Consider the following 21,620-nt stretch of genomic DNA (forward strand, 5'->3'; position numbering starts at 1 on the left):
TCTCTTCTTCTGTCTTATGACCCTCAGTTGAATTCTTGATCCTGAGGAAGCAATAATTGAGGTTGCTGCAGACCCCATGCAGAATCACAGACAGTAACCTGGATAACTTCCACTGGTAACAGTTATAGCTAAAGGTGGACAGCAAAGTGCAGAGTAGGGTTATTATCTGGAATAACAGAGACCAATGACACTTTGCCATATGTATTAGTCAGCTCAGGCTGCCATAATAAAGTACCACAGATTGGGTGACTCAAACAATAGACATTTCTTTTCTCACTGTTTTGGAGGGCAGAAGTCCATGATCAAGGTGCTGGTGAATTTGGTTTCTGGTGAGGGCTGTCTTCCTGCCTTGTAGAGGGCCACCTTCTTGATGTGTCCTCATATGGCCTTTCCTCTGTGCTTGCTCAGAGAGCCAGCAAGCTGCAATGTCACTTCCTTTTTATAAGGACACAAGTTATATATCCTGTTAGGGGCCCATTCTTACCACCTCATTTAACCTTAATTACCTCCATAAAGTCCCTCTCTCCAAATACAGTCACATTAGTGGTGGAGGCTTCAACATACAAATTTTTGAGGGGCACAATTCGTTCATAACACTATAATACATTAGATCATTGAGACCCAAACAGTCTTTATTTGACTGTTCTAGACACTTGCAGAACCACAGTATTCCTATCTACTTTAAGTGTTTGAGACTAAGCATAAAACTGTATTCTTCCTCTCTGAAGGCTCTCAAGGAGAATCTTTCCCTGTTTCTGGTGGCAGCTGCAGGTGTTCCTTGGCTCATGTCCACATCACTGCCATCTGCCTCAGTCTTCACCATAACCTTCCACTCTGTGTCTCCTCCTTTTCTTTAGGGACAATAGTTTGCATACACAACAATCTCTGTTCTATTTGAATAACAATGACCCTGTTTCCATTTTTTTTTCCATTTTCTATAGGGACAGTAGTTTCCATATATAACAATCTCTGTTCTACTTGAATAATGATGTAGTTAAGAACAATATATTTTCATCAGTCTCCAATCTAAAAGTAGTTGTTGAGAAACAGTTAAAAAATGTCCCTTATAGCTCTAAGGACTGGTCTTAGAGCTAGTTGGAAAAATCGAGTGATATGACTTTATGGCTATACCTTTTCTCCCTCTAGTAAACAACATACATTACCTGATTTGCTTGAAATTCAGCCAGAGAAAAATTCATCTCAGTACCTAACTCTCCGACTAAAGCAAGACTTTTTAAATGTAAAAAGTAATTCCCTAGACACCTGAGTGTTGAGTTAAATTTCCAGACGTCAGCATCATCATTTCAACCCAAAAGGTGGAGCATACAGAATCTCCATCCCAAACTTGAAGCCAGTAAGTGTGGATGGATTAGTTTTGGAGATTAATTGTATAATTTACTTAAATACTTAAGAGTTTACAGCCCTGCATTGGTTTTGGTGTTATAGTTGCATTTTAAAAGTTGTATTAGCACTCAATATTACCCCTTTCATTATTCTAATAAAGAGAAAGAAACAGAGTTTGCCTAAAGAGTAGAAAGGCCAATTCAGCCCAATATTGGAAAAAGGCCAGACAGTCACTTGGGTGGACAAAATAGTGGCACAATCCTACAACACACAGCTGTAAACCAAAAACAAAATTCTAAGGCCTGCAACCATCTGAATGAACTTCCTCCTCAGCCACAGCACTCTTAAAATTTAACCTGAAAGACTGGTTCAGGCCATGACTGGAAGCAGAGGTGACACATGCCCCATTATACCTCCCTGGCATTAACATCAACAGATCTTAAGTCTGATAAGAAATATTTACAATCTATTCTCTCTAAAGCCTGCTACTTGAAGGCTTCCTTCTCCACACAATAAGAACTTTGGACTCCACAATCCTTTATCTTAATCCAGACATTTCATTTCTATCGATCCCAGGTCCTTAGATAAACTCAACCAATTGTCAATCAGAAAATTTTTAAATCTACCTATAACCTGAAAGCACCACACAGAGCACCCTCCACTTCAAGCTGTCCCATTCTTCTAAACCAATCCAATATATTTCTTAAATGCATTTGATTGAAGTCTCACATCTCCCTAAAATGTATAAAACCAAGCTGCAGCCTGACCACCTTGGTCGCTTGTTCTCAGAACTTCCTGAGGGCTGTGTCATGGGCCTTGGTCACTCATATTTGGCTCAGAATAAATCTCTTCAAATATTTTACAGAGTTTGATGCTTTTTGTCAACACGTCTCAGAGTACATTCAGTAGCCAGCAATCACATTTGTCTCACCAGTGGTCATTTAGTTTCAGAACATAATAATCTGTCAGATTCAATTAAAGCCAAAATTTGAATGATATCTATTTAGATGTTTTGTAATCATTTAATTTCTAAATACATTCTTCTTACATAGTTAAATTAAATACTTAAATATAGAGAGTTTATTCTAGTTTTTGTGTGTACATTTAGTAGGCTCTAGTTGTTTAAGGTTTACAAAATAAGTGAACGTGTTCAATATCACCAGATTTTGGCCTATTTTGACTTTTTCATTATTCACGAGGAGTTATTCAGTCATAGAATGATTGGGAGGTTCACTGCTCTCTTCCCAAAGGAGAGGAATTACGAAAATTTAGTTTACAATTAAGATCTGTGTTTCTTTAAAGGTGTAGTTTTTAGTTTCTTATCATTCGGACTCCAAATGTAATGCTCCACTGAGACTTTCAACAAGGGCTATGATAAGGGAAGAACACAAAGAGGAGCTCTTGCTAATTTCATTATCTTTGTACATATAATTAAGTTAAGGATCTTGTGATGAGATAATCCTGGATAGAGGTGGTCTCTAAATCCAATGGCAAATATTTCTATAGAAAAGGAAGAGACAGAGTAGAAGGTTATGGTGAAGACTGGAGCAGAGACTAGAGTGACGCAGCCATGAGACAAAGAACGCCTGGAGCCACCAGAAGCAGGGAAAGATTCTGTTTGAGAGCCTTCAGAGAGTATGGCCCCGCTGACACTAATTTTGAATTTCTGATGGCCAGAACTATGAATGGATAAATTTCTGTGGTTTTAAGCCTCCATGTTTGTGGCAACTTATTGCAGCATCCTTAGAAAACCAATGAAGTCAGTAAGCTACATCAGTGATTTGCTAGTGGAAACCCCATGCAGGGACCATGGGTGATAGAGACAAAAGGATAACTGGGAGCCTCATCCATGCACCCACCAGTCTTGTAGAATCAGAGTCCTCATTGATCGGCTAACTGCACAGGTATCAAATGCACAGAAATTTGGACTTCCAGTAGGTGGCCTCCAGAGGAACTACCAGAGTGGGCATGCGCTTGTTTCATATTTCAGCTTTGCTTTTTGCTATCTATCACCAGTGTCTGGATGATTCAGTAGAAGTGTAAACCCAAAATGTCCTGTCTGCAATCAACAGATAACAAACCAGCTTCACTGAGCTGCTTTAGTACTTACTAGGGCAAAGACCAAGGACAGTATCAGAGATAATAGGTAAGAGAATATGTATAGGAAGGTAATATGTGATATGGATAGCTACCATAAACTTAGCTTAGCAAGGAAAGTATTTCGTAAACTGAAAAGTATTGATCCTTTGAGGTATCATGACAAGATAGATGGATTTGAACTTGGTTATATGAGCTCAAGAGTGGCAGAGAGAAGAAATCTCTTTAGATTAATAGGAACATCATTTTGATGTCAGTGGCAGGGTATATTATGGTAATCCAGGCTATCAGCTCCTTTGTTCTTGTATTCTGTGGTTCTGCTTTAAGATAGTGGGGAAATAATGTCAAGGGTACTCTGTTAAGGAGATCTGGCAATTAGAGACCATTTGGACAAAATGCATGCCGAATTTTTATTCACTAACTCAAAAGAACATCCTTTGTGCCAGGCCCTTCTTTAGGGCCTGAGAATACACTGAAGAATGACACATGTAAATGACACACTTAGGTTCCCTCCTAAAGCGATCTCTACATCTATCCTTCTAAAAAAGTAAATTTCTGTCTAAAACAAACACACAAAGTAAATCTGTTTGTGACCTTTAACTTTTAGATTATTTGTTTAGTCCTATATAACTGCTGTTTTGGAGCCTACCTTTTATTTTATATCTCGTTTGCCCTCTAAAAGAATAAAAAGGCCACTGGGCTTACTCTTCTCCAGGAATTATCTTAAAGCCTATGAAAGGTCCACATCATAGCCCAACTATACTACTAGCACTGCCCTGAGAATGCAAGAAAAAGGGGTGTCTTTGGCCACAAATTTTATCTGACCTAAGTAATAATACCTTCCATTTGTCTATAACACCTTTATCTTTTCTAAGGAGCTTACACAGTCATTTCATTTCATCCTCATACAGGATCAAGTTTCAAGGCCAAATTGTTCTGTACACTGCCAGCTGGCTCCTTGAATTGCTGGCTTTGACTTCCCAGTGTGCCACTAAATATTGAGCAGGGAAGTTAAACAGGAATCTCTTGACACCATATTTCTGCCCTAGGCAATGGTAACTCACATTCTCCTGCAATTTATTCTTCTCATCTGTGAATAGAAAAACAACTTTTCCTCATCAGGAGAGTCCTGATTTGGACTTGGCATATCAGAATATTGGTCTGACTGGGCAACATAAGTAAATGTAAAAATGACTTTGGAAATGATTCTGTTGTAAGGAACACACTTGTCAATTTTTCCATTAGTCTATCATTTGAAAGGAAAGCAGTGACCTGAACTTTCAACTGTCATTAGAGTAGTAAAGTCAAGCATCATGTATCACACATATTTAAGGAGCAGTTTCCTGTAACGTCTTGCAACGTGCTTGGATGCCCTGGATATGAGAAGAATAATGAGAAGGTCAAAAACTGCCAGTTGTTTTACAGAATAGTTTGAGTGAATGTCTTAAAGTTATAAAGGTAAAATGCTACCAATTTTTTTTGTATATTTCAACTTTTAGAAGTAAAACTAATGAAAATGGAAGTAGAGATGACAGCTGAAGTACGATTTACTTTTTGCATTGCTGTATTTTAAGGACTCTCTGAATACATTAAAATGGACAGAAAGATTTTATAATGTTTCAAATGAAATAAAATATTTTCAGTATCATTTTTTCCAAAAATTAGTAATATACATGGAGATAAAATTTATTATTTCCAAAGAAGTTAATTGTTTTCTCAAGATAATTAAAACATTATTAATTTATGTTGGTGATAGAGAATAACAATATTCAGAGTAGATGATACACATTCGAGATACAAAACAGATTTTAAAAATTAATAATTTTAAAACATAAATGGAATAGAAATAACCTTAAATGTAGAATGTATGCACAATATTTTTTAAAGTCTCACAATACATATGCTATGAAATTCAACTAATATAAAATGTACATGCTCTCTCTGCATTGGATATTTACTATGTAAACTCTCTAAGATGTAGTTCCCTTTAGGATTAAGAAATAGATCAGTGTGGGAAAACAGACTTCTCTTCTAATTCTTGGGGGGAATGTAAAGCATGATTTTGCAATCTATTTTAGCAATAAAAGTCAAGGGTTTAATAATTATCCATAATTATAATTCCTAACACCTAGGAATTATGCTTTTGAGAAGTTAATTATAAAATAATCCAAAATATAACTAGAAACTAGAAAACTTCTAAATACCCAACAACAGGGAATCTCTCTGCACATTACAGTATATATCATGTAATTTTGTAAAAAATATGATACAGCATAAAAAAATTATTTCAAAGACATATGCTTTGAAACAGAGCAAATGCTTTTGACATAATATTTATAAAAATATAGGAAAAATTGTATGAACAGTGTGACCACAAATAAAATATTTTAAGAATTAATATTTGTAATGACAATATTACGAATAAATTTTGAAAACTATCTATGTATATATCTTTTATTATTCAAGGGGTCTTATTCCCTAACCTATAAAATACTATTTAAAATCTTGGAAAACAGGTTTTTATATAAAGAAATTCTTGGAGAATTAAGCTTAGGAGTAGTGGACTGGTGTGAATGAAGGTGGCTCATTTTAGCATATGTTAAGTAAATAGACTTCTGAAGTACTGTTTTAAATCCTGTGGGATGCCCTGGGAATTGCACTTTCTTGGAGATTCTCCCATAGTGGGAAGCAATGGTTTGTAGTGGTTTTTTGTGATTGTGACTTGGCCTTCACTTATCAAAGAATGACTATCACTTCAGAGAAATGTTCCTGGCGGGAATAGTCATTGACTATGTGATCTCCATAATGCAAGAAGAAACTGGGTTGAAGGAACTTTCTATTTGCAATACTTTCTAGATAACTGTTCTTTTGACTTTTGAACATAAAGCTCTCATCATATAGAAAAAAATTCTGATTTATTATTATTATGATTTCAAGATGGAGTCTTGCTCTGTTGCCCAGGCTGGGGTGCAGTGGCATGATCTTGGCTCACTGAAACCTCGGCCACCCGGGTTCAAGTGATTTTCCTGCCTCAGCCTCCAGAGTAGCTGGGACTATAGGCATGCACCACCACACTGGCTAATTTTTGGTTTTCATTTTATTATTATTTTTTTTTAATAGAGATTAGGTTTCATTATGTTGGCCAGGCTGGTCTCGAACTCCCGACCTCAGGTTATCCACCTGCCTTGGCCTCCCAAAATGCTGGGATTAGAGGTGTGAGCCACTACGCTTGGCCTGATTTATTATTTTAAATGATTTATTTTATATTACTAAATGACTTACATATAAATAAAAGGCTCACTAATTTAAGCTAGTTAACATTTCCCTTATTATCTAAGTCATGATGTTTCAGGATAGGAAAAGAACCATGTGAATAGAGGAAGAAGGTAAGAAGCTGGTATCTACAAAGGACCCCGGCTGAAAACCCTTAGCTGTGTAGGTGGAGGGACATCACAACTTTTTGATTTTTTCTTTTTAAAGTGCTATCACAGGGCATGTTAGGTTTACTATGATGGAGAGCAGATTGAGTGAGAACGTTGAAAGAGATTCCACATCCAAATGAGGCGACTGAGGAGAGTTCACAAGGGAAACAAACAAGAGTTGGCAAAGAGCCCTAGGATTCGTAGGTGAGGAACCATTATAACCTCTAATCTTGAAGCCAAGAAGGAGTAATTGCTTGGAAATCCAAGAAAACTAAAATCATAGGAGAGGGCCACCTGACAGGAGATAGAAGCTGTGGTCTTTGATAGAGGGACATTGTTGACTGCTGAGATTGATCCAGGAGCTATTCAGTAGGATGGATAATCTGACCTCACTTTCTCTCATGCTTCTCACCGACCAACCCAAGCTGGAAGGAAAGGCAATCTGTAATCCACACAGGGTACCCTCAGGGCACAGAGCAAGATGGAGAAGGTGAAGAGTGGATCTGAAAAATGAAATGATTCAGCACACAGGTATTCTTAGTGAGGACACTCTTTTCATTTAATCCCCGACTTTCTTGTTTAGGTTACAGCTGTAAATATGACTAAAATAATTTTTTTTTAACTAAGAAAGAGACAACAATGACAGCCTTAGCGGAGAAAGTTAAAAAGTGAAGTAGCTGGAACTTCATCTACTTCAAGAGTCCTGTGAGCAGGTTGCATCTCTATGGTTACAAGTGAAAGAACCAGAAACTGGTGGGTTCATTTTTCACAGAGACATGGTAAGACTCTAGGGGGAGGCAGAATACCTTCAAGTCCTAGGTGACAAACAGTGACTTAAAGTTCGGGACCAGGGCCTTCTTGACCACTCTTGTGGGAACTACGTAAAGCAGTTTATGTGCTTTCATAGTCAACATGGACCCGGAGCTATAAAAGCTCACTGAGGAACACACTCATCAGTGAGACTTCACCAAGTATCTTGGACAAAAGAAGACAGAATATGGTAGAAGGAAAATATCAAAAGATATTTGATAACTGATTTTGCCACAAAGGAACAGCAGCCAGACTATAATTCCAAATCACCTGCGTTAAAAGTGTGAGAAGAAGAGTGATGGAGAGAAGTCAGAAGTAAAGGGAGGAGTGCCCTCAGCCTAGAGATGATTTGCCCTCAATCTTAGATCTCCTACTCTGTCTTCACCAAGGGTCAAAGGGCTGGCCCAGGGCTGGATTACACATTTTAGCCAAAGAAGAGTTGTAGAGGAAAGATGATGTTTGCAATAGAGGAAAGGTGATGTTTGCAATAGAGGAAGGAGGTCTACAACTTTGAAAATTGTGTTAAAAATATTTGTTTAAAATATTTTCACTCTAAATTTTCCTCTTAGCGTAGCATTGGTTGCTTTTTCAAAGTCTTTCTCTGCCTAGTTGCTAAATCTTTTAGGGCTCATATATGTCACTCTTTGGTATCTCTCAGTTAAGACATTTTGATGGGTCTAGCTGCCTAAATTCAGGTTGGTATCAATCCTTATTCCCATAATTGATTCATGTATAATAAAATTGACCTCATTTGATAGTCAAGACTGATGAGTCTTGGGACATATGGATATGATTTTATTACCATCAATTTTAAGAATTAAAGTTTGGGCAACATGAGAGTCCAAAAATGGGTTTAGCATGCTAAATCCTTAACCAATTTCTATAAAACACTTTGTAAATTCAAGTGTTATTACTTTAGTTTGAATGTGGTCATTCACAGTACACACTATATTAATTTTTTCAGAGGAGGAAAAGAAAGGAAATAGGGCTGTACATTTTTTACATTTTCTACACACTATCAAGGAATACAATAGAAATAGATAGCAGGGTGACACTACTTGAAAAAATAGCCACTATTTTAGATTTATCATATCTTTGATGCCGATTCACATTCATATTCAAGATTTCTCAGTCACCTTTCTCATTGTTCTGAGAAGCCAGGGAGAAAATGAAGAAAATGAATGATGAGGCAAGAGCTGGTGAAATTGGGTTTCTGAAATTCTCTTCATTAATGGGTAAATACATCTTTCTCTTATCGCAGGAAAATATATCAGCAGCTAGGTTTGAGTGCTTGAAATGTAGGAGGAGATCTATTTAACACATTGCTGGGAGGCATCCACTGAACAATCCAGATGCTGGGTGATGCTATTCTCACAATCTAATAAATGGCAGAAAATGCTTGGCATTACTGCTGTATGAATCCATCAACTCTGTGGTATCTTGATCCTTATTTTGGAAAGGGAGTAATTAAGTTTTTAATATCATATAGATTTTATACACTTTTTTGAAATAAATATATTAATTCCTATACTATCACCATAATGGAATAGTTTATTCTTTTTTCCTTTTCCATAGGTTCAACTGAGTTAATCATTTTCTAATGTTCACTCTGACACAATACACATTGTAAAACTGCTGATTATTTTCAAATTGGATATGACAGCGTAACAAGAGTAGAAGAGAAACATCTGGACTTTATGAAATAGTTGGTTATGGGAAAATGTAATTTATTTTAAATAATACATACAAAGCATTGATCTATAATGGGATTAATTTGGACCAAATTAATAATTTTTAAAAGTAATTTTAAAAAACTACATGAAGGGAAAAACAAAGACAAAGACAAAGAGACTTTATTAATGTTAGGTTTATTAGTGAATATCATTCTCAAATTACAAAAAGTTAAAGTTTCACAGTCCAAATATATATTGATAGCTGGATCAGTATATCTTCCATCTGAATGAAGAGAAATAGTGCATAAAGGAAATGGAGCATAGGCTCCACTTTGTAGTTTTGTGTATAGGAGCACATTTGGAAGCATAATTTAGCTTACTAATTCTAGAGGCTATGTTTTCAAATGTATTTGGGAGCAAGGAAATACTAGCTCCCTAAATTTGAAGACCTCAAAAGACAAAAAAATAGCTAATATGCTATTTTTTAATGTATTTTTAATGTATTTTTTATGATGATGTAAAGTCCTCTGAATATATATCTAATTTTTTTAAAAAATATTGTTATCTAAGGATCCTCCAGCCACTCTGTCTTAAATTAAAAAATCAAATTCTTACCATTGAGGCAGGTTTTATACCTGGCATACATAGAGATACTGCCAAAATATTACTGATCATTTTTGCCTATTCAATTTTTCTCTTCTCCAAGTTTTCAGAAAATATTGAGCATCATGTCTATACTGCCAAATTTCTTTTTGATGTGGGATGTGTGTGTGTGTGCATGTGCACACATGTGTTATACATGGTAAGTTCTACTCTCTCTCAGGCCTGTACTTGCTCCCTTTCTCTGGCTTATCAAGAGAATGTGTAGCAGCAATACAAAATAATCTTAAAGAACAGATTTTTCTGTCTCCTATAAGGTTCAGGAAAAGGGATAAGGAAAATCCTAATATTTTAGTAAACTTTGGGACCCTCTGAATGTTAAGAATCAATGATAAAACTGAGATGTGGAAAAATAAATTTCATCCAGGCATCTTAGGGACTCTGTGAACATAGCCTTTGTCAGCCCCTCTGTCTCTGCTTCTTTCTGTTCAAATAATTTGCAAAAACAGAAAGATTTGGAAAATCTGTATTTTTTTATACCTAAAAAGTGAGAAAATTTATCTGCTATAATCTAATTTATTTTCCCCCAATGTAGCCGAGTCTCTAAATGTGTGTGAACAAATTAATTGTTTGTGTATTTTAATATGAGTTATTAGAAAATTTGTGATAGGCTTGAAAAAACGTTTTGCAAATCTTTGCCTAATAGCCACCTCAAACATGTAAAAAGGGTGGCAACTGAAAAAGAAGGCCATAAGAGAAAATATATATAGATAAAATTGCTGAGGTGTGCAATTTTTTCTTTTGTCCCCTCAAGTAAAGTGGGAGAAATTATAGGGGACAACTCAGAAAACCTGAGATATATATCTATCTATCTCCTGGTGCTTGCAGGAAATAGAATCTTAGTTTTTAGAGTGTCCTGGGAAGTTTCAATGTATGATGCATAGGCTGTGGCTAACCATAGAGAATAGTGGAGAGACACAGAGAAAATTTGGCCTATACTGATGTTATGGACTGAATTTTGTTTCCTTAAAACTTATATGTTGAAGTCCTATCCCCCAGTTTCTTATAATGTGACTGTATTTAGAGACAGGGTCCTAAAAAAGAAGGAATTAAGGTCAAATGATATTATTAGAGTAGGCCCTAATTCCATATGATTGGTATCCTTGTAAAAAGAGGTTGGGACACAGAAACACAAAGGGTAAAGACCATGTGAAGACACGGGGAAAATGGTCATCTACAAGCCAGGGAAAGAGGCCTCAGAACAAACCCACACTGCCAACACATTGATCAGGGAGTTACAACCTCTAGAATTGTGAAGCATGAATTTCTGTTGTTTAAGCCATCCAATCTGTGGTACATTGTTATTGAATCCCCAAAGTACTAATATATAAGTGAGAACTGGCTAAATTCTGACTTCATATATGGGAAAATTATATGTGGATATTTTTCGTGGACCAATATGGGCCCCATAGAAGAGAGCAGACTTGGTGACATTTTAAATCCTGTCAATGAATAATCACTGAAGGGTCACTGCAACCCAGCAAAGGAGGTACGCTGAGAAATATCCAGGGGCTGAAGGATGAAATTAATCCTCTTCATGACATGTTAATGCAGAAGGGACAGTCTCAGCAAAATCCTGGAGAAGCAGAAACTATTCCCATGAGAGAAAGAACTAGCTTAGAAAATCTACCAAACTCAGAGGAGGCCAAAGTGAGATGACACCAGTACCCAGCAAGCAATATATTTCCTGTAACTTACCTTGCCTCATTTTCCCAACACATCCTAAAACACTGAAGAAGTCAAAGCCACAGTTTGAAAGGTGGTGGAGAGGCGGAAGAAAAAGTTCATTTCTGACCTAAAACATTACCAAGAGGAAAAGGGAAAAGAATCTTAACTTCACAGTTTGAAGATCTTGTCATTAATTTGAATTGAATATTTTACCTATCATGGCAGTCTGTTATTGTGTTGCTAAAAAGAAAGATGTAAGGCTGGGTAATTTATGAAGAAAAAAGATGGAATTGGGTCACAGTTCTGCAGGCTGTACAAGAAGCATGGCACCAACATCTGGTCAGACTCTGGTAAGGGCCTCAGGATGCCTACAGTCATGGTGGAAGATACAGGAGGAAACTGGTGGTATCACATGGTGAGAGATGGAGCAAGACAGAGAAGGGGGTGGTGCCAGACTCTTTTAAACAACCAGATCTTGTGTGAACTGACTGACCAAGAACTCACTCATCATCAAGGCGATGGTGCTAAATCATTCATGAGCAATCCATCCACATGATACAATCATCTCACACCAGGCCCATCTCCAACATTGGGAATTACATTTGAACAACTAAATCATATCATTCTTCCCCTTGCCCCCCACATCTCATGCCTTTCTCACATTTCAAAATATAATCATGCCTTTGCAATAGTCCTGAAAAGTCTTAATTCATTCCAGCATTAACTCAAAAGTCCCAAACTCCTAGTCCCAAGTTGAAAGTCTCATGTGAAGATGAATTCCTTCCACCTGTGAGATCAAAAACTAATTATTTACTCCCAAGATACAATGGTGTTACAGGCATTTGGTATACATTCTCATTTTCAAAAAGATAAATCAGCCAAAAGAAAGGGGCTACAGGCCCCATGCAGTCTGAAACCCAGAGGGCAGTCATTAAATCCTAAAGATTTAAGATAATCCCCTTTGACTCCATGCCCTGCATCCAGGGCACACTGTTGTAAGGGGTGGGCTTCCAAGGCCTTGGGCAGCTCTGCCCCTATGGCTTTGCAGGGCGCAGCTACATGGCTGCCTCCATGGAATGGAACTGAGTGTCTGTGGCTTTTCTCAGATCAGGATGCAAGCTGCCCGTGGTTCTACCATCTTGGGGTCTGGAGGGCAGCAGCCTCCTTCCCTCAGCTCCACTAGGCAATGCCCTAGTGGGGACTCCGTTTGGGGGTCCAACCCCACATTTCCCCTCTGCACTGCCCTAGTAGAGGTTCTCTGTGAGGGCTCTGCCCCTGCAACAAGCTTGTGCTTGGGCATCTAGGCTTTCTCATACATCCTCTGAAATCTAGGTAGAAGCCAAAAAGCTTCCTTTATACTTACATTCTGGGCACCTGCAGACTTAAAACCAGGTAGATGCCACCAAGGTTTATGACTTGAACTCTCTGGAACAGTGCTTTGAGTGGGGATCTGGGCCTGGCCCCTGAAACCATTATTTCCTTCTATCCCTCTGGGCCTGTGATGGAGAGGTTATTTTCAAGATCTCTGAAATGCTTTCAAAGCCTTTTTCCCACTGTCTTGGATATTAGCATATGGCTCCCTTTTAGTCATTCTAACCTCTCTAGCAAATGGTTGCTCTGCAGCCTGCTTGGATTCTTTCTCTGTTACATGACCAGGCCACAAATTTTCCAAACTTTTATTCTCCATTTCCCTTTTAAATATAAATTCCAACTTTTAAGTCATTTCTTTGCTCTCATCTGATCATAGGCTATTAGAAGCAGTCATACTAATTCTTGAATGCTTTGCTTCTTAGAAATTTCTTCCACTAGACACCCTAAATCATCACTCTTAAGTTCAAACATCTGCAGATCCCTATTACCTGGACTTAATGCAGCCAAGTTTTTTGCTAGTGCATAACAGATGTGACCTTTACTCTGGTTCCCAGCAAGTTCCTTATTTCCATCGGAAACCTCATCATCCTGGCCTTCACTGTCCACATCTCTTATCAGCTATCTTGGTTACAACCATGTAACCAATCTCTACAAAGTTCCAAACTTTCCCTCATCTTCTTCTCTTCTTCTGAGCCCACCAAATTCTTCAAACTTCTGCCCACTACCCAGTTCCAAAGCCACTTCTACATCTTCAGGTATCTTTGTTGCAGCACTCTACTCCTCAGTATCAATTTTATGTGTTAGTCTTTTCTTGCACTGCTATAAAGAAATACCTGAAGCTCAGTAATTTCTAAAAAAAAAAGTTTAAATAGCTTATGGTTCTGCAGGCTGTACAAGCATGACACCAACATTTGCTTGGCTTCTAGTGAGGGCCTAAGGAAGCTTACAATCATGGTGAAAGGCAAAGGGGAAAGCTACAGTATCACATGGTGAGGTGAGAGAGGGAGCAAGAAAAAGAAAGAGGAGGTACCAGACTCTTTGAAAAAAAAAAAAACAAAAAAAAAAAACAGATGTCATGTGAACTAACTGAGAACTCACTCATCACCAAGCAGATGATGCTAAGCCATTCGTGAGGGTTCCACCCCCATGATCCAATCACCTCCCACCAGGTCCCATTTCCAACCCTGGGAATAATATCTTGACATGAGATTTTTGAGGGGACAAACATCCAAACCATATCACCTATTGAACCACTTGGGAAAATAAAGACGATCAACAGTCTATTATTATATAGAAGTGACTTAAAACGTGATGGAACCAGAACAACATCTTATCCACAGGCAAAGAAATGGGTGAAAATAAAATACTTTCTGCTTTCCCTCTATGGAGTCCTGTGTATGCAATGTTAATGTTATGTTAAGTGCCTATTTTGATGAAAGGCAATGCTGAAGATGATACAGTGTCCCCAGTAAGTACTTAGTGTAAGGGAGGCAAAACTTTATTTCTATCAGGATTTTCAGCTAGGCCTGAGAATTAAATTGGCGTAAGATAGGTTAACAGGAGAAAGGCATACAAATGTTATGTACATTTTACAGGACACAGGAGCCCTCATAAGAAAATAAAGACACAAAGAATTGACAAAACCTAAATTTCATATGGGGTTAAAGTAACAAAACTGTGTGAGGAGACATAAAAAAGTTAAGAATTATTTTAACAAGGTCAGTTTGTGCAGAATTTTCTCGGCTATGACATGCCTTGGAAGAATTATTTTTTTCTCCTGGTACTGGGAGGGTGTCTTCCACAAAGGAGCTTTTATCTCCTGTTTTCAGTAAGAAAAGGGAGACTAAAATGCTCTTCTTGGATTTGCTGTTGTTCAAGTGTCTTTATCTCAAATGAATCCTTTGTCAAAGTGGCATGCTTTAGGGTGGTATATTCTGCCACCCTTCATTAAGAAATTCTTGAGAACTGACAGGAGCTACTAGGCTCTTTCAAATATATCATGCCATTTAATCCTCTTAGAAGTCCGGCAAAATCTCCATTTTATAGTAATATACATTCAAGGTGACATCTTAATTTCCTGCAACATGTAAAAGAAGAACATGGACTTTGATCCCTGGTATAACTGCCACATAGTCCAGACTTTCAACCATGCCAGATGGTATTCAGTATTACCCTCTACCACTTGGTAATGTCTCAATTGGCATTTTTAAAAAGAAAATAATATAAAATTTCTTCCTGATGAAGGATATTTATCAAAACTTTAACAATTACCCATAATTTGACTACTTTAATTAAGTCAGAAATTTTAATGATACACCTATGTTTATTTAGCAATATGCCACCCATTGTAATTTATTTAAATAATAGAGCACTACTTTTAGCTTCAAAGGCCTCACAGGATAGTAGAGGAATTTTATGATGAGAAATATGTAAGTAACAGCTTGGATCATCCCTAAAACACTTCTTTGAGGAGTAGGCATGTGTACTAAGACAAGAAAACTTTGAAACTGGTTAGGAAAGCATGGAATACTTACCAAAGCACCTGACAAAAGACAGGATAGATATTAGAAAGTCTAGATATTTGAAGATGTTGGAAAGTATATAAAAAGGAGAACTAATGGGTTTATTGGACATTATAAATATCTCAAGGACTTATATTTGAAATAGAATACAGTTCTTGTGCTTTTCAGAGGATCATTTTCTGTTGAATTAATATATGGTTTAGGGTTAGAAAAGTAATTTCATCGTTGACCTCTTTCCCTTATCTTCTTCAGTTTCCAAAGCTGTAAAATCAGGTCATATACATGTGAAATATTGCCAAACACATATCTATTTGCATTCTAATAATATTGAGGCTGAAAAAGTACTATAAATGCTATTGTATAGCAGTATAACAAATGTCTATTAATTTCTTTCAAAATTGTATTTCCTAAATTGTGTTCTGAGAAATTATATTGGTATAGTTTGTGTATTTGTCCACACCCAAATCTCAGGTTGAATTGAAATCTCCAGTGCTGGAGGTGGGCCCTGGTGGGAGGTGTTTGGATCATGGCAGTGGATCCCTCATGGCTTGGTGCCATCTTTATGATAGTGAGTTCTTGTGATATTTGGTCATTTAAAACTGTGTGGCACCTCCTCTCCACTATTTCTTTCTTGCTTCAGCTTTCACCATGTGACATGCCTGCTTCCCTCTTCATCTCCCACCTTGAGTAAAAGCTTCCTGAGGCCTCCCCAGAAGCTAAGTGATGTTTGTGTTATGCTTCCTACACTACCTGCAGAATCATGAGCCAATTAAACTTCTTTTCTTTACAAATTACCTAGTCTCAGGTATTTCCTTATAGCCATGCAAGAATGAACTAATACACCTATGTACTTATAAAGGCTAAAAAGTTTTATGTACCAAAAATGCACTAAAAGATTTTAGGGTCAATAATTTGGGAAAAACTGAATTAATCAAAATTAAACAATTGCATTTATTACAGAACATTTTAGAGTACTTAACATACTAATGTGAACTGTGAAGTTTCAAGAGAGGATGCCCTATGCAGCTTTTCTAAATATAATTTGAGCATGGAAAAGGTTTTTGTAAGAACTTTAGACATCATAAGGGATAAATAAATGTAGCTTGAGTCAGAGTATTTAAAACAATATGTCAATGTGGAAACAAAAAAGTACATAAATGTGGAAACATCTGAACTATTGAGTATATTAACTAAAGTGATAGTCTTACATTCCATAAATTATAAAGTACTTCACTAAATGAAATAAAATATCACTATCATGACACAACCTCTGCTGAGGGTCCACGCCAAATTATTTGGAGATCTTTGGGGCTACGATGGCTGATAATATCATGATGCCCAAGCTGAAATGAATCAGTTGTGAAATTCATAATACTTTTTTCAGTTTTTAATAATTAAAATAGAATTTAACATATGTAGACTATTGCTCAATAATTTTAATAATTATAACATATCACTCTTTGCAAAACTATCACGACAGTGAAGGTAATGAGATAAGTGAGACATTTATCTTATATGCAAAATTTAAGAGCATGCCAAACTTCAGTAACGAAGATAAATCTTATTTTAATGCAACATTTAAAAAAATCAAAAATAATCCAAAAAATCTGTGGTGGACAAAATATCAAAAATTGTAGTAAAGATAATTCCAGCATTACTGAATTTTCCTTTTGCCTTGGGCTTCAGTATGGTTCCTTGGTCCACTGGTTCCTTGCCATAATTTTCTCCAAAATTTAATTTGAAATTATCTGCATAAAATTTCAAACATAAAACTGTTCTCATGGCAAATAGAATAATATTTTTTTGGTTCCTCATTAGTGGTCTGACTTATTTTTATTATTATAATATATAGGAAAAAATACTAAACAACAACAAAACAACAATAAAACTCTTTGAATGTTACAGAGAAAAAAATGACAGTTTCTACAAATCAAGCATTTTCATGGATTTTTTTTTTTGAAGTTTCCTTTTGTTTCAAAGGCTCTTTTCCCAAAACAATTGTTTGTATGTTTGCAAAATAATAATTAATAGGGAAATATATTTATGCTTGGGGATAAAAATCTACTTATCAACCAGGATTCATCTTTTGTGGTAACAATTATTATAAGAGCTTAAATTACACATTTTTGACAGAGAATTTAGCTGTTTGGTAGGTAGTTAGAATACATGGAAATTTCCTCCAGCAACATTTGGTGCATCCCTGGTGGCATTAAAAAAAAATCTAGAACCTATCTAGGGAGTCATTTGAAATTTGCCCACTAGGAAAATCTGTTTTGTGCAGATTGTGTATTTATTTGAGCAGTAAAACAGATGCAGAGTATATTTTGCCTTGCACTATTTTTCCTTATGTTTAATTGTAACTTACAGCCAGAAAGAAGATATAAAATACAATCAAAATGGGAGAGAAAAACACATTCAGAAAAGCAATTTTGATCATAAGCATGTGGTATCTATAGAAACTGTTATGTTGGAAAAGGGTTTGCCATTTCAGTGATCAAGTTAATGAAGGTATCATTAGATCTCTATTTTAACACAGCAATTTGTTACATATTACACTTTATGCAGCTAAGCTGTTACATTGCTAATTTAGCTTTTAAGAATATTAAAATCAGAAATTCTTTTATTTTATACAGAACAAAAGGAATACTGAATATTTGGGATAACTATTTTTTCTGTTTAGAAACAAGCTACAATGTTGTGGCGAGGTACTTTGATAAACAGATTCCTCAATAAGAACTGTGAGTTCTGCCTCTTTCATGAAAGGCAGGCATGTTCCATGAGGCTACCAGACCCAGCTACGTCTGGGAGAATATACAGGTGTTAAATTAGCTAGAGGAAATGTTCTCCAGGTCCTGAAGGCTGATGCACCATATGAAATATTACAGCATTTCTTAAACAACAATAAAAAGCAAGTGAAGTAGGGGCAGGAAGAGAGAAAGAAAAATAAAAATGTCTAGGTAGTTCAACTCTAAATTATTTTCTAATCATTCATAAGTTTCCATATACCATGAGAGCAAATCTCTGGAACTATGGATGAGCTTTATTTAGTCTGCATGCAAAATTCTCCAGATTCTGTCAGGAATTATCTAAACCATTACTGAGAGCAAGTCTTTCTGTGCCACAGGCTCTGTGTTTTCAAGGTGGTGGTGCATTCCAGTTTGAGGGCCCAAGCACTGATCTACCAATGATCTTCACACCCTTATCATCACTATACCAGCATGAGGTAAAAACTACATTGTATTATTTTATCATCCTCTTTGTCTTCCTCAGACCAAACACAATGATTTTTCTATAATGCTAAATATTGCATTATATTTATATTTATATATCCTCCTTCAAATTAAGCTCTGTTATACCAATCACCTTCATCATTTTCTAGAGAACATTTCCAGGTAGGTTGCAGTTGGATCTTACAGTTAAATTTAATAGCACTATCCATCTAATCAGTTATGTGTAGGTATCACAGGCTTCCCCCTCCTCAGAAAAGGAATGTATTTTCAGAAAAATCAAGAACTATATTTTCCCATCTGTGTCTTCATTTCAAAGGACTACTGTAATTTTTTTCAGACATCCTAATTGTTATATATATTTTCTCTCCATTTGGTGCCTCTTTGAAAGAAGGCATATTCAACAAGAGTCATCAAGTGAGAGAATTTATATGAGCAAATTATCTAAATTCAGTAATCCAGTCCTACATGCAAATGAGAAGTGGAAACAATGAACAAAATCACACCTTTCAAATTCAAAAGATCCATGAGACAATATGTCTCATATCAGAATTTTAATCCTACCATTACTCTCTCTATTCATGCTCGGGTAATTTGGCTTTTCCTCTCTCCTTCTTTCTGTAATATTCAGTTGATCCCTTTCATTTCCTCTATTGTGCCTTACCAAGATGGCAAATCCAATGTTCTATTTCTATAAGATAAAATTCACTCCTCACTCTTCAACAAGCTCTATCAACATTTTACTCAATCCAAAATGCTCTTCAGAAAACCATATATTAGGGCCGGGCGCGGTTGCTCACGCCTGTAATCCCAGCACTTTGGGAGGCTGAGATGGGTGGATCACGAGGTCAGGAGCTCGAGACCATCCTGGCTAACACGGTGAAATCCCGTCTCCACTAAAAATACAAAAAAATGAGCCAAGCGTGATGGTGGGCACCTGTAGTCCCATCTACTTGGGAGGCTGAGGCAGGAGAATGGCATGAACCCGGGAGGCGCAGCTTGCAGTGAGCAGAGATCGTGCCACTGCACTCCAGCCTGGGCGACAGAGCGAGACTCCATGTCAAAAAAAAAAAAAAAAAAAAAAAGAAAACTCTATATTAGATAGCCACCATAAAAGAAAGGGACATACTGATTGGAGTTTTGATTTACTGTCCTATTTATTTTTACTGCACAAAGGAAACACTTATTCCTTCCTGTTTTGCATTTCAGAAGAAAATTCGGGATGGTCCAAATGACAGACTCCAAAATGATTCTGGATATTATGGGCTAAATCTGTAACAATAACACACAACAAACAGAGGACTGAAAATATAGCTAATAAAGAACTATACTTATTAATCCAATCATCTGCTGTGTCAAGACTGGGTTAGAATAAGGAGTGGATCTGAAAGGAAAATGAAAATACCCAGGACATCAGAAAATCAAGGGTAAATGAAAAACAAACAAACAAACAATAATTCCCAGGGAATCTTGGAATCACAGAGGATTAGTGGGTGGGGCCTGGGGAGAATGAAAAAGGATGGGAACCTAACTCCATTTTGAGTGACAATCCGGTCTACTATTCATGACATTTTGTAATGATGCCACTTCTAATTCAAGAGTGAGGTGATATTACTGCTCCTGACCCTGAAGTCATGATTCATGAGGCTACGGAACAGTTGTTTTTACATAAAACAATAAGATCAATGTCCTTATATAAGACACACCAAATCTGTGGCTTCAATGTTAGAAATTTATTTCCTTACAATTCTGGAAGCTGGTATGTCCAAGATCAAGGTGACAGCAGATTTGGTTTCTACTGGGGGACCCCTTCCTGTCTTCTTGCAGGCAGCTGTCCTCTTGTGCATCTTTGTTTCTCAGATTTTAAAGGAACTACTCAAAGAATCTGTTATAGACTGGATGTGTCTTCCCCAAATTCATATGTTGAAGTCTTAAAACCTAGGGCAGCTGTGTCTGGAGACAGACACTTTAAGGATAAATGAAATCATAAAGGTGTGACCCCAATCCAATAGGATCAATGTCCTTATATAAGACACACCAAAGAGCACTCTCTCTCTCTCTCTCTCTCTCTCTCTCTCTCTCTGCCAGGTGAGAAAGCACAAGAAGGCAGCTGCCTGCAAGAAGCCAGGAAGAGGTCCCCCAGCAGAAACCGAATCTGCCATCACCTTGATCATTGACATCCCAGCTTCTAGAATTTAAGAAAATAAATTTCTAACTTTGAAGCCACAGATGGGGTTACACATCACAATTCTGGAAGCGGGGATTGTGGGATTTGTTCTGTTGGCCGAGCTGACTAACGCAGAACCAGAACATTCCAACTCTATATTCCAAGGAAGGTAAAAAAAAAAAAAAAAAAAAAAAAAGTTGAGGAAAATAAAAAGTACCCAAAAACTCTTAACTAAAATTTGGATTAGAATAAAATATCCTCAAATCAGAGGGACCTTCCTAGAATAAGCAATGCCGTGAGTTTTAAAGGATGAAAAAGGGTTCAGTTAAGCAAAGATGAAAAAGAAAGTCAAGCCATGAAACAGTGGCGCATGAAGAAGACATACAGGTGAAAAGATCATAATGGTGCAGAAATGCAAGGAGTTGGAGAAGGAAAAGATTTCAAACTAAAGGGGAGGTGGGATGAGGTCATTGGGGGCAGATCAAATGCCTACAAATTATTTCAAAATTTGCAATATACATATCTAATGAAAATCCTCCTTTAAAATTTGCTCCCTGTATGTGCCTCATCAGAATTGCTTATTTGGAACTAAGAGCGCTCATTAGGAAATACAGTATTTCCACATTGTTTCTATTATTTTAAAAGGATAACATGAGTTG

The 21,620-nt window shown here is 36.8% G+C and overlaps 1 long non-coding RNA gene across 1 annotated transcript in view; it reads left to right on the plus strand.

The window, feature by feature from the left end:
* Nucleotides 1–20,084, plus strand: part of LOC105373651 (uncharacterized) — a 42,737-nt gene extending 22,653 nt beyond the window's left edge. The window contains exons 6-7 of the long non-coding RNA XR_923388.1: nt 18,692–18,790; nt 20,004–20,084. This is a non-coding gene — a long non-coding RNA (uncharacterized LOC105373651). The remainder of the gene's footprint in view (nt 1–18,691; nt 18,791–20,003) is intronic.
* The last annotated feature ends 1,536 nt before the right edge of the window (nt 20,085–21,620 follow it).

The sequence above is a fragment of the Homo sapiens genome, chromosome 2, assembly GCF_000001405.40.
Source record: "Homo sapiens chromosome 2, GRCh38.p14 Primary Assembly".
NCBI classification, from domain to species: domain Eukaryota; kingdom Metazoa; phylum Chordata; class Mammalia; order Primates; family Hominidae; genus Homo; species Homo sapiens.